Source organism: Homo sapiens, chromosome 5 (genome assembly GCF_000001405.40).
Source record: "Homo sapiens chromosome 5, GRCh38.p14 Primary Assembly".
Lineage (NCBI taxonomy): Eukaryota > Metazoa > Chordata > Mammalia > Primates > Hominidae > Homo > Homo sapiens.
In genome coordinates this window covers 10,451,594-10,464,843 of record NC_000005.10, presented here as the reverse complement: position 1 = coordinate 10,464,843, position 13,250 = coordinate 10,451,594, and the positions used below count along the sequence as shown (strand labels likewise).

At 51.8% G+C, this 13,250-nt stretch overlaps 2 protein-coding genes across 7 annotated transcripts in view, besides 1 other annotated feature; both read right to left on the bottom strand.

Annotated features, from left to right (window-relative positions):
• Positions 1-13,250, bottom strand: part of ROPN1L (rhophilin associated tail protein 1 like) — a 40,929-nt gene that overhangs the window by 17,964 nt on the left and 9,715 nt on the right. For all 6 annotated transcript variants that reach the window (XM_017009947.3, XM_006714504.4, XM_047417808.1 and 3 more), the window contains one exon: positions 3,485-3,660. In XM_017009947.3, coding sequence (XP_016865436.1) covers positions 3,485-3,660 — 176 coding nt within the window. The remainder of the gene's footprint in view (positions 1-3,484; positions 3,661-13,250) is intronic.
• Positions 3-3,478, bottom strand: LOC124900940 (uncharacterized). The gene has a single exon (XM_047417967.1). The coding sequence runs from the start codon at positions 872-874 to the stop codon at positions 149-151; it is 726 nt and encodes a 241-aa protein (XP_047273923.1). The 5' UTR covers positions 875-3,478; the 3' UTR covers positions 3-148.
• Positions 6,292-7,151: an enhancer, noted in NCBI's record as "H3K4me1 hESC enhancer chr5:10457805-10458664 (GRCh37/hg19 assembly coordinates)". NCBI's record gives its function as "activates a minimal SCP1, AML or CMV promoter by ChIP-STARR-seq in naive H9 embryonic stem cells {active_cell/tissue: H9 hESC(naive)}" and the evidence as "EXISTENCE:reporter gene assay evidence [ECO:0000049][PMID:30033119]".

The window sequence follows — 13,250 nt, the reverse complement described above, 5'->3', positions numbered from 1 at the left end:
ATTGGAAACAGATAAAGATATTTATTGGTAATTTCTCATCATATACTTAGTAACATTTTTATAAAATGCGATATAATTTAAAAGGTCTACTTTTAAAAACTATTTATGGTTGCTCATCAGTAATTCTTACTTCCAAAAATAAAGCATTCTATTTTCTTGTGCAAAGTGCACCAAAACGTATAATAAATGTAGCTTTATTTCTAGGTGAAAAGATGGGTGCTATATGCATAGGTTTTTCTTTTTTGATGACTTGTGATCTCAGGAAAGTGGTGGGAGAAGTGGCTGCTGCACAGGGTCCCAGTTCTTTGGAGGCTTGGGACATGGATTTGGAATGAGATGGAACCACCCATGTCCCAGGTGGCTCTGTCAGGCGGAGTAGCCGCATCAGAGAGCACAAAAGAAGAGAAGAGGTGCGCGGATCGGGCAGGAGAAGGGGCCCAGCATGACCCGGATGGCGGTGCAGAAGCAGAGGCTGTGGGCACCAGGAGGAGAGCTGGGGACAAAGTACTGTGTCGTCCATGTGACTGCAGACACCAGCCAGGATGGTGTCAAGAATAAGGCGGACAGAAGGGATGGCTTGGGAGCTGCGGTCTTCCACGAGGACAGGAGGGTTGGAGTGACAGTGGATGACAGAGGAAGGAGGAAAAAGAGGGACCATGGAGTCCAGAGGCTCAGCCCATGGTGGGCAGAGGGGATGTGAGTTTGAAGGAAGGAGAGGAAACGATGTGGAAGGGACAAGGAGACGAGGACGGCTGGGACAGGTGGGGCAGGGCACAGAACGCAGGCTCCACTGGCACAGGAAGGGAGGCGGAGGCTGGCGGATCACTTGAGCGCCAGCTCCTGGTGCTGTGGCCTGCATCCTAGGTGGCATCATGGCCGGTTGGAAAGGGTGGGAGGAGGGGACAAGACTCTGGGTGGTGATGACAGGCCAGGGGGCTTCTCAGGAGGCTGAGGCGAGCAGGGGTGTGTGCTGTGCCAGAAGGCGGCCCTGGGACCAGCCCCCATTGGTCCCTATCCCTGGCTTACTGTCCTCTTGGCACTGAACATGACCTACTGTCTTAAAATCTGCTTGTCTGATGTCTGTCTGCTCCACAGGGCAAAACTCCAGGGGTCAGGGCGTGACCTGTTCACTGACTACATCCCCGGCACCTGCGCCAATGCCTGGCACAGAGCAGGTGCTCAATAAACTGTACTGTGGGCAATTCGAGATGAGAGGTGTGGGGCTCAGGGACAAACCATAACCAGCACTTGGGGGGCAGTGGTCCCAAGGGGAAGTGCCGGGAAGACCTCAGGGACCCCATCTCCCTTGGGGCTGGAGCCTGGAGGACCTGGGCCCTTTCCTGCCCTTGCACCTAGAAGGCCCTTTCTTGCTGTTAACCAGGCTTACTCTGCAGCACCACAGCTCCCCGGACCCTGCGGTTGTCACCACCACCTCTGCCCACCCCACCAGCCCTGGGCTGCTCTCTCTGCCTCCCCATAGGTAGTGCAGGGTGCAGAGTCAGCACCCAATGATGGTTTAGGGAATGAACAAATGAGAACTTCCGCAGGACCCAAGAGCTTTGTTCCTTTTTACTCTGCATCTTGTCTTTAAAGGGAGGATTCATTAATCTTGTTTAAAAATGTTACAGGTGATCAGAACACTGGACAATATATTCCAACGTTAGCTCCAAGTCATGCTTCAGAGCAGAACCAGCCTTACATCACATGCAGCCTGGTGCAAATACAACATAACATGCAATGTGTCGGGGTCATATAGCAAGTTCATCAGAGTGAGAATTGCGTGGCTGATGTCAATGACATCCTCAAGTTTCTGCAAATGATCCTGCATCCGTGGCACTACTGTCAGGAGGTCCACCAGCAGTAATCCATGTCTACGTTTCATTGTGGAGAAATGAATTCTATCTCACTTTTTAAGTTATTATTATTATTATTATTATTATTGTTGTTATTATTTGAGACGGAGTCTCGATCTTGTTGCTCAGGCTGAAGTGGAATGGCACAATCTCGGGTCACTGTAACCTCTGCCCCCCCAGGGCTCAAGAGATTCTCTTGCCTCAGCCTCCTGAGTAGCTGGGATTACAGGCACCCACCACCACACCTGGTTATTTTTTTAGTAGAGATGGAGTTTTGCCATATTGGCCAGGCTGGTCTCGAACTCCTGATCTCAAGTGATCCACCTGCCTCGGACTCCCAAAGTGCTGGGATTACAGGCGTGAGGCACCGTGCCCAGCCTCTATCTCACTTTTTAACATGCTACAATTTAGTACCACCTGACATGCTGTACATAGGAATCAGGATAGATCTGGGATAAATGAGTCTTAATGACAAGATACATTCTCTCCCTCTAAAGTCTAAAAAAACCTGAGCCTCAGCCCACATGGGTGGGAGCCACGGGAGAGGTCGGGCTCCCTTCTGAGGTGCTGCTTGCTTTCGCTGATGGCCTTTGATCTGCGGCTCCACTTACACACACCCTGAATACTATCAGGTGTGCCTAAACCTTCTGCCAAACACGGGATTCGTTGGGACAAAGTTATTGCAGACAAGGGATGTGATATTGTGAAATATATATTTGGTCTTCAACCCCCGCTCCTGGCATACAAGTAAAATCTGTGGAATCTCCAAAGTGAGTTCTTTCTTTATGCTTGTGATTGGCTGATGGCCCAGGTAGCTTCAGGATGGGGCTGGTCACTGGAGAGCCCAAGGCAGGATTAGAGGGGTGGGACTTTCAGCCCAGCCCAACCTTGGAGGTGGGGAGAGGGGCTGATGGCTTAGGTGATCACTATTGGCCAATGATTTAATCAATCACAAAGCTTCCAGGAAAAAGAAACCCTAAAAGGACAGGGCTTAGAAAGTTTCCCGGAAGCTAAACACATCGAGACCAACAGGAAGGTGAACAAGAGCTCATTTGCGGGCAGGGAGGGGATGTACCTCAACTCCATGGGGGCAAAAGCCCCCATGCTCCAGACCCTTCCAGACCTTGCCCTTTGTCTGTCTTCCTCTGACTGTTGGTAGCCTTTAAAATATCCTTTGTAATCAAATAGTAAACATGAGTGTTTCCCTGAGTTCTGTGAACCATTCTAGCAAATTAATTGACCCAAGGAGGGGTTGTGGGAACCCTGATTTAGAGCCAGTCGGTCAGAAGCACAGGCAAAATAACCTGGGGCTTGCAACTAGCATCAGAAATGGGGCAGGGTGGGGGCAGTCTTGGGGACTGAACCCTCAACCTGTGGGATCTCAGGCTATCTCCAGGTAGACAGGGTAGAGACGGAATGAGAATGCACAGCTGGTGTCTGCTGCAGGACCACTTGCTTGCTTTTTGGTGAGGAAAAACCTCCACACATTTGATCATAGCAGTCTTCTGTGTTGATTATTGTTGTGGTGAGAGAGCAAAGGAAAAACTGAGTTTTTCCCTACAAGGGGGAAGTGAAACAGGAAATTCTCCCATGGTCAACATACCTGAATCCTAGAGAGGGTGCATACTTACATATTTTCCTTTAGAGAGGCAAGGTAGGATTCCGTCTCCAAGGGAGACACATCTGAGTCTAATCTGGCCAAGTAGCGGTAAACGTAGGAAAACGTCTTGAAGGGGATGCGAGCGGGCCCGCCCTCCGGATCGTCCGTGAGGATCTCGCACAGGTGCTTCAGCGCAGTGTTCAAGGACTGGGAGCACCACAGCCAGGTGGGGAGAAAAACAGTTACTCCTGGCATCACTCACATTGAAAGCAGGCATCAGCAGAATCAACACTCTAGCATATTTGACAGAAATTCTCCAAAAAGTATGTGCTCCATCTGAACTGAGAACTAGGTGAATGTACAATTGCCATAATGAAAAATGAAAAGGAAAGGTTCGAATGGGGTGCAATTGACCAGGAAAAAATTCTAATTCACAGATCTTATTTTCTATTAAAATAGAAATGACTGTTACAGACAAAAGGAAGCATCAATGTCTTGAAAACCAACTTCCTAAGCTAATGCAGAACTGTGCAGCCCCATCTGGCCCGGAGACACACCCGGGGACGTGCCCAGGGGCTGAATGAACTCTGCCACCAGCCAGAGGTGCTGCCTGCAGAGGGCAGGGCTGGCAGCCAACGGCCTGCATGCCTACAAGGAAGCCCTGGGTGTCTGCCAATGCCTGCCCACCGAGCAGAAGGGAGGGCTCTGTCCGGGCTCTGTCCTGGCTCTCTCCCTGTTCACACAGAAGGCTCTGGGCTCTGTCTCAGCTCCAGAACAGCAACCGGACTTCCTCCCTGAGACCGTTCATCTCCCTCACACTCTTCCAAACTGCTGGGCTCATCCCAGACAGCAGCCCACCCTCTGCTTTCAGCGGGAAAGCCCATCCTCTGAGCAGCCTTCCTGCCTCCACACGGCAGACACTTTTAGCACCTGCCCTCCCAGCCAAGTCCCTGCGGGGGTGGGGGGCAGCTAACAGGCCAAGGTCGTCTTCATGAGACCAGAGGCTGCATGGCGCTGGAACTGCAGGGCCTGGGCACCAGGGCTCCCCAGGGCCAGCCCATGGCCTCCCACCTCCAACTTGCTCAATTCATCCTTGTTGAAAAAACATGAGCTGTTTGTGTGTTTGTTTCAAGAAGGTGGGAGAACCATGTAACATAAGATTACTATCTTTTCAAAAGAGAACACATAGCCCAGGTCTCCTTTTCTCCTTCTGCACCAAGACATCATGACCTGCAGCCTTCAACACCCTGGCCAGGGTAAGCTGTGGGGGCAGGTGTCCTAATTCCGCAGCTGGCCTATGGGACCCTCCCCTCAGTCCCCACCTCGAGTCCCTTCTGTGAAGGCCGTCCTTGCCAGAGTGGCTATCTCATACCTGCCTGGATGGTCACGCTGCCTACTGATGAAGGTGAGCTCACACAGGTGGCTGCTTAAACGTAACCCCCCTCGCCAACACACACACATGGCAACAGCCCTTCATTCCCTCCACGTTTGCCAAGTGCCTGTTACACACCAGGATGTAGCAGTGAACAGACACCTAACGCCTGCTCATGTGGAGATCACAGTCAAGTGGGAGAGCCACAACACCTGGATTCTAGGGTGCTCTGGAAGAGGGCGTGCCTGGAGCAGCAGGCAGGCAGTGCCGGGGTGGAGGATGACATTTTCAATCGGGTGGTCAGGGACGGTCAGAGCAGGGAGCATGTAAGCACAGACCCAGGGGGAAGGAGCCAGTCATGTGGGATGCTGGGAGAATTCCAGGGGCACTTCTGTGTGCTCCAGAAACAGCCAGGAGCTCCAGGTAGCTAGAGCAGGCCATGGAGAGGCAGGGATGCGGGAAATGAGGTCAGCGGGATGGGGTGGGGGCAGATCACGGAGGTCTTTACAGACCCAGGGAGGACTTGGGCTTTGGCTGGGGTCTATGGGAAGGTGTCAAAGGGTTTTAAACAAAGACGGAGCACTGTAGAGTGTTTCTAAGGAGTCCTTCTGCCGATGTGTGAAGAGAAGTGATGAGGGTGGAAGGCAAGAACCCAGTGATGAGGGTGGAAGGCAGGAACCCAGTGATGAGGGTGGAAGGCGGGAACCCGGTGAGGAGGGTGGAAGGCGGGAACCTGGCAAGGAGGCTGCTGGAATAATCCAGCCAGGGGCCTGGGAAGGGCCGGACTCAGCCTCTCCTGAAGGTGGAGTTACCAGAACTCACTGGTGGTTGCATGTGGGCAGAGACAGAACCATGAAAAGTGGTTCCAATGTTTGGTGCCTGAACAGCTGCAAAAGTTCCAGAGAGAAGCTGAGTTTGGGGTGGCTTCCACTGACATGTCTGTCAGGCGCCCAGTGGAACTGGTGACTCAGGTGGCTACTTAGTAGGCCTAGCGCTCACGGAGGAGACTTGGGAGCATGGGCGAGATGGGGTATACAGGCGGGGTGGTGTATACAGGTGGGGTGGTGTACACGGGCGGGATGGTGTACACGGTGGGGGGATGGGGCATACAGGCGGATGGTGTACACGAGGGGATGGTGTACACGGGGGGATGGTGTACACGGGGGGATGGGGCATACGGGGGGATGGTGTACATGGGTGAGATGGTGTACATGGGCGGGATGGTGTACACGGGGGAATGGTGTACACGAGGGGATGGTGTACATGGGGGGACGGTATACACGGGTGGGGTGGTGTATACAAGGGGATGATGTACACGGGGGGATGGTGTACATGGTGGGGACGGTGTACATGGGGGGATGGTGTACATGGTGGGGACGGTGTACATGGGGGGATGATGTACATGGTGGGGACGGTGTACATGAGGGGGATGGTGTACATAGGGGGGATGGTGTACATGGGGGGGATGGTGTACACGGGGGATGGTGTACATGAGGGGGATGGTGTACATGAGGGGGATGGTGTACACAGCGGGATGGTGTACACAGCGGGATGGTGTACATGAGGGGGATGGTATACACGGGGGGATGGTATACATGGGTGGGGTAGTGTATACGAGCAGGACGGTGTATACAGCCGAGCCCCACGAGGTTGCCGAGGTGGGAGGACAGTGCATGGACACGCTATACCACCAAGAGCTGGGGAGATGAGGGACCAGCATGGGGACTTGAAAGGCGCAGCCAGGAGGGAGGCTGCTGGTGAGTGAAGAAAAGCATTTCCTGGTGGAGAGAGCAATCTCCTGTGTCAAAGCACACAGGACAGGACAGGAAGGACAAGGACTGGCGGGTGGCACAGGATTTCCTCGGAGCCCGGTGCTGTGCTGGAGCCGGCTCATGAGCCTACTGCTAAGTTTCCAGCAGTTGTGTGAGCTGGAGGACTTCACCTTGGCAGCCTGAACTCAGCAGCAGTGGGAGTATTTACACCACATCGCTTGGCAAACATGACTGAGAACCAGGACCTTCCCGAGCAGGGTGGTGCCCTGCAGGCTGCTGGGGTGGGGTGTGAGGGCAGACTGAGAGCTCCTGCTTGCAGCAGCCACGGAGGTGGCTGACATCCCTGGGGAATCGCCTGCAGGGATGAATCTAGGGCTGTGCTTCCAAGGGAAGCGCAAGAAACAAACACAGGAGGGCCAGGGTGGAGCACCATCCTCACGGGGGAGCTGCAGATGCAGGGAAAGGGCCGCTGCAAGCCAGGCCTGGACTGTCCAGCTCCACAGTGGCTGTGTCAGGAATAAACCCCACATCCTCAGGGACAGGAAAGGGCTCTGAGGCCGCTCCAGGCTATGGGACAAAATGAGCCTTCCCTACAGAACACCATGGTCAGAGCAAGGCTGATAACACAGCCCGCTGTCCTCCTCTGGGAGTGAGAATAATGACAGTCACCTCGTGTGGTTACTGCGAGGAGCAGACAGACACCTTGGCCAGGCCCAGAGGGGCTCAGCAATCACCCAAGTCACCCAGCCAGGACTGGAGCACAGCCGGTGGGCCTCTGAGCTCACCCCAGTGACTACTCCATTTTATTATGTCTAGCAGCCGCCAGGCGGGCTCTGGGAACAAGACCTGGGGCACAGACGTCGCCTATCTGAGGACCCAGATATTTGGCTGCAGGAGATGGAGCCCTGAACAGAACTGATCTCCCTGTCCCCAGCGGCCTGATGGGGCAGTTCCTCCCATTTCCACCCCCTTCCCATGCCAGCAGTGCTGGTGGCGGCTGCACCTGATGCTGCCGAGGTGGACGGCACGGTTAGGGGGTGAGTGCAGCTCCCAGGGCAACATGATGCTCTCTCTAGGAAAAGTGCAGAACCTGCTCCGTGGAGCTGCAGGCACCGCTCCAGGACCACTGCACACGTGGCTCCTCTAAAAGACTGTCCCCAAGACAGGACTTGCTCAAAGCCGAGTCGTGTATTTCACAATCCATGTTCCTTGCTTGAAACTCTCAAAGACATGTTGTTATGATGGGATTTGCTTTTACACTGGACACAAATGGAAGTCCGTCACCACCGTGTGCAGGACTGCGGGGCCTCAGGAAGGATGAGTCGGAAAGGAAGGAGTTGGCGTGGATGGAGCAGGCAGATGAGATCTGTGTAACGCGCCGTTCCAAGGCTTCAGAGGAAGCGGTATTTAAGGAAAAATACATCAAAACACTCGAGCATCACTTCCTCTGCAAAGGCGTGATGACACTACCCATGTCAACGTTTCTGACAATAAGATCTGCAGCAATTTTTATATCCAGAAGGATTCATAAGGCAACTTGCTCCATCTTGTGCTGCGAGTCACATTTCTTAACATTTGTTTCTCAATTCCAAAGGCCTGTGGGTGGCACAGTCACTTGCACAACAGCCAAAAGACCCTCTCCTTGGCATGGCTGCCCCATGCTGCCGTCTGCTGTGTGGCTGATTTATTCTCCCATGTGCGATATGTGCTGGGCAGAGGTGACTGGCAAGCTGCACTTATTTTTTTGTTTGTTTTTTTGAGATGGAGTTTTACTCTTGTCACCCAGGCTGGAGTTCAGTGATGCGATCTTGGCTGACTGCAACCTCCGCCTCCTGGGTTCAAGCGATTCTCCTGCCTCAGCCTCCTGAATAGCTGGGGTTACAGGTGCACACCACCATGCCCAGCTAATTTTTGTATTTTTAGTAGAGACGGGGGTTTCACTATGTTGGTCAGGCTGGTCCCGAACTCCTGACCCCAGGTGATCCACCCGCCTTGGCCTCCCAAAGTGCTGGGATTACAGGCGTGAGCCACTGCACCCAGCCAAACACTTAGTTTTTAACCAAGTATTTACACCTGATCCATAATCTGAAATTCAAGTGGAGATGAGTGAAGAGCACAGGCACGAGGGCACCCACTATTTTCCGGGCATTTTCGGCATGCCAACTCTGTGGGGTTTTTCAGTTTCCAAATTATAGCTGCTCTCATGATGATATGAGGCCCCTCAACAGTCACCTCACACCTCCCCAAGGGCACCTCTCAGCTGGCATGGAAATGAAAATAGGCCCGTTTTACACAGAATCAGAACAAAGGAGGTCCCCCTCTGAGGCACAGCTGCCTGTGCTGGGGGTAGAGACTGGACTTCCAGTGAAGCTGTGCCTCTGACCCAGCACTGGTTTTTAAAAGCCTCTGACCCAGCACTGGTTTTTAAAAGCCTCTGACCGAGCACTGGTTTTTAAAAGCCTCTAACCCAGCACTGCGTTTTCAAGAGCTTAAGGGCCTTTTCATCGAATTCTATTATCCTCTAGAGTTTCCTAATTTAAAACCATTTCTGGGGCTGACAGCAGGTAAGGGTAGGAGGCCCTGAATGGGAAGGAGCAGTTCACCCCGTGGCTGGGGTGTGATATCCTGTGCAGGACAGGGATGGGGAGGCCACAGCGGCCCGCATCAGCGGCCCATGGGAATCTCCAGCGGACAGGGCAAGGTTGGTCAGGGGAGCGTGGCCCCTGCCTCTTTCCCACAGAGGGAGGGACATGAGCAATCAGGGGAACTGGAGCTGGGGCCAGGGGAGTCAGGAGCCTGAGCGGCTCCTTCGTCTTCAGGGACAGCTTCCTAAACACGCCTGTGGCCTCAGGCTCCCACTGGGGGGTGGGGGCGTGGCTGTGTCTTCTTCTCACGGGCTGCAGGGGCTATGAGGAATTCTGTTGGCCTTTCTTGGTCACTTCCGAATGGGCTTTCGAGCCCTAGCTGCGGAAACCTGGAAGGAAACAGCAGCGAGGAGTAAGCCAGGATGCAGCCTCTGTCACTGCCGCAGCGCAGGTGGCTGTCACATCGGACCAACAGGGAACCACCATAGGTCAGTCACTGAATCTGACATGCTGTAGCACAGCTGGATGGGGCGATGTTCTGAGAGCTCCAAAGTGTGTGTTGTCAGGAGGAGGCCGAGGTTGAATGCCTTCCAGGGGATGAATCACTTCAGGACACAAAATGATTTTGATGATCGTCCCGAGGAGTTGTTCTTCTCCGAGACAGGAAATCTCAGGCGTAAACTTGAATAAGGTGGTCCTAACCTGTGGGCTGCACATTCCTTGGGCTATGGAGCCACTAGGAGGAATCCTCCCCTCTCCCCACTTCCAAGTCACCTGTTGTGACTCAGCTTCTCTCTGCCTTGGGGCACCAGCCTGCAATCCTGATGGTGCCTTCCTCAAAGGGCTGTTGGGAGGATTCCAGAGAATACACACGCAGGGCTCTGTGCACTCCCGCACCCGGTTAAACCCTAGAAATCATGCCCACTGCGTGCACCGTGTTCAGATGGAAAACTGCGTTAGACACGTGTGCATCTGTGGTTGTAAACGAAGAATGATGCTTCTGTGACTAAGAAAGTTCAAATGCGTTTCAAAGCCTGACTAAAGTCAATGTGATTTGTTTTGATCATGACAGACTGACTCTGTCAGTGTCAGTATGGGGATGAAAGACTTGGTTCACAATTTTCTTATCTTAAAAAAAAAAAGATCTCCATGCTTAAAAGACAAAACAAAACATTTTGATCCACAGCTTTAATGCTCAGGATCATTAATGGCATTGTAGAAATGGAAAAATAAAAGTCAGCCAGGCTCTGTGGCTTGTACCTATAAATCTCAGAACTTTGGGAGGCCAAGACAAGAGGACTGCTTGAGCTCAGGAACTGAGATCACCCTGGGCAACATGGCAAGATACTTGTCTCTACAAAAAATAAAAAATTAGCTGGATGTGGTGCTGCATGCCTGTAATCCCGACTTGGGAGGCTGAGGTGGGAAGATCGCTTGAGTACAGGAGGTTGAGGCTGCAGTGAGCTATGACCATGCCACTGCACTCCAGCCTGGGTGACAGAACGAGACCCTGTCTCTTAAAAAAAAAAAAATTAAATAAAAGCCACAACATACAAATATGGTCATTTCACCATGCAAGCACATCAAAACATTGAGAAAGAGGACAGGAATCTCTTAACATCCAGATGGCAATTTAATGTCCTTGTTCACCTGCCTGGGGCAGCTCACAGTGCCCCTTAACCTGAATTGATAGCTTTTGATGTAATAAGTAGAGCAGTGTTCAGGGCTTCAAGGATATAACAGAACATCAGCTCCAAGAGTCTGGTGATGTTTGCCCGTTTTGTTCACTCCAGAACCTGCAGCACTTAGAACAGGGCCTGGCACAAAATAATGCACAGTAAACATTTGTGGAATGAATGGTATGTATGATTCAGAAATTGAAGCAGAGGTTTCCAGTCTTTTTAGAGATCTTCAACTCGATGAATTTGACTAGAGTGATTTCTAAGATAAATAAATGTAAACAGCACAGAGAGTACACCTGCCACAAGCCACGCCCCCGCCATAGATGCAGGGAGCAGGAACGACATCTATCCCGCTCACGCAGGCAGCGGCTAGCCACCAATTACACAGCATCCTATGTGAAATAAACTTCTGCAGGTGGTAATCCACTACAAATTATTCTCATCGCACTTCATTTCCTCCTTTTTGAAGGTATTTTTTTAAAGCATAAAAATGAACGCTTATGACGCTGAACGACATGAAGAAACCCCTCCTTGAATTCACAGCTTTGTGTTCTTAGCACACCTCCAAGCCACCCAGGGCCAACAAGGTCAACAACACAACTGTCCACACCAAGGCCTGGAGGGTCCGAGCACCTCCTGTCTACCCAGCGCACCCCGAGACAGGTGTTTGAACTCGTGCTCAGCACTCTGTGGGCCGCGGGAGCCAGGGCAGAGCAGGCATCCCTGGCAGCAGACATGGACCCCAGACGAGCACACGCTCCTCTGAGGGAGGAGAGGTCAGCTTCCACACTTGAACCTGACCCTGAGTCTACAGCCGCACTGGACCAGAGCAGAGGGTGGCTGTGGCTTTCTACAACCAGGAGAGGCCTCCAGCACCTATGGAAGGAGTCAAGGGCAAATCTGGAGTCCTGCTGGCAAAGGTGGCTCAAGTCAGGAGACAGGCAGGAACCCGCAGTGATGCACAGCATGATTCCTGGTGTCAATTTATTCTCTATGATAGGAAGAACCCAAAAGAATGTGTGCTGTTTGTGATGTCTCTTCCCCAGGAGTCAGCTTAGACGGCCAAGCTCTATCCTTAACACAATGTCTCCATCTAGTGTCACACACTCTACATGGACAAGAGGCCTTATTTTTCAAATCAGATTCAATTGTGTTTTAAATCTAGTGCTTAATTTTCACAATTAGGAAGGTGAAAACTATAAAGATGGATCCAAAAACATGAATTATTCTACTTTCTCATCATTTTAAAATCAAAATTTTACAACTAAGCTTAGAGGCAGAAACCACCAACATTAATTCAAACATTGCATACAATTTTATATTGTTAACATATCGATTTCAGGGCCGGGTGCAGTGGCTCACACCTGTAATCCCAGCATTTTGGGAGGCCGAGGCGGGCAGATCACCTGAGGTCAGGAGTACAAGATCAGCCAGGCCAACATGGTGAAACGCTGTCTCTACTAAAAATACAAAAAATTAGCCAGGCGTGGAGGTCCATGCCTGTAATCCCAGCTACTTGGGAGGCTGAGGCATGGAAATCACTTGAACCTGGGAGGCGGAGGTGGCAGTGAGCCCAGATCGCACCACTGCACTACAGCCTGGGTGACAGAGCAAGACTCTGTCTCAAAAAAAAAAAAATACACACACACACACACACACACACAGACACACACACACACACACACACACACATATACTTTAGGCTGGGTGCAGTGGCTTACACCTGTAATCTATAATCCCAGAACCTGAGGCTGGTAGATCACCTGAGGTCAGGAGTTCAAGACCAGCCAGGCCAACATGGTGAAACCCCATCTCTACTAAAAGTACAAGAATTAGCTGAGCATGGTGGTGCATGCCTGTAATCCCAGCTACTCGGGAGGCTGAGGCAGGAGAATCACTTGAACCTGGGAGGTTGCAGTGAGTCAAGATCACACCATTGCACTCCAACCTGGGTGACACAGTGAGACTCCATCTCAAAAAACATATAGCTAGATACAGATATAGATAGATAGATTAGATAGATAGACAGATAGATAGATAGATAGATAGATTTCACAGAGTTCCAGATTAACAAAGTGACATAAAAATGTCTCCAATAATTAAAAGTATTTGCCTTTGTCTATCTTGATAATACCCCTGAGACACTCCCCTGGTGCCATCTGCACCTGTCCTTGCTACTGGAGGGTACCATGCCTGCCAACATCCAGGCCTTGGCACAATTAGCCCGGGGCTGACAGGAAGCACCTCCATTGCCTTTGAGCAGTTACACAACAAAACTCTTGCTCATTCTACAGCCACACCACACCCGACTCCCTGAGGGCACGGAGCTTCCCACTGGGGCCATCTGCAGAGCTGGTGAACTGCGCCACACTCAGATGTGACATGG

Excerpts from the sequence above, each read along its gene's own strand:
- LOC124900940 (XM_047417967.1), bottom strand. The coding sequence starts at position 874 with ATGATGCCACCTAGGATGCAGGCCACAGCACCAGGAGCTGGCGCTCAA.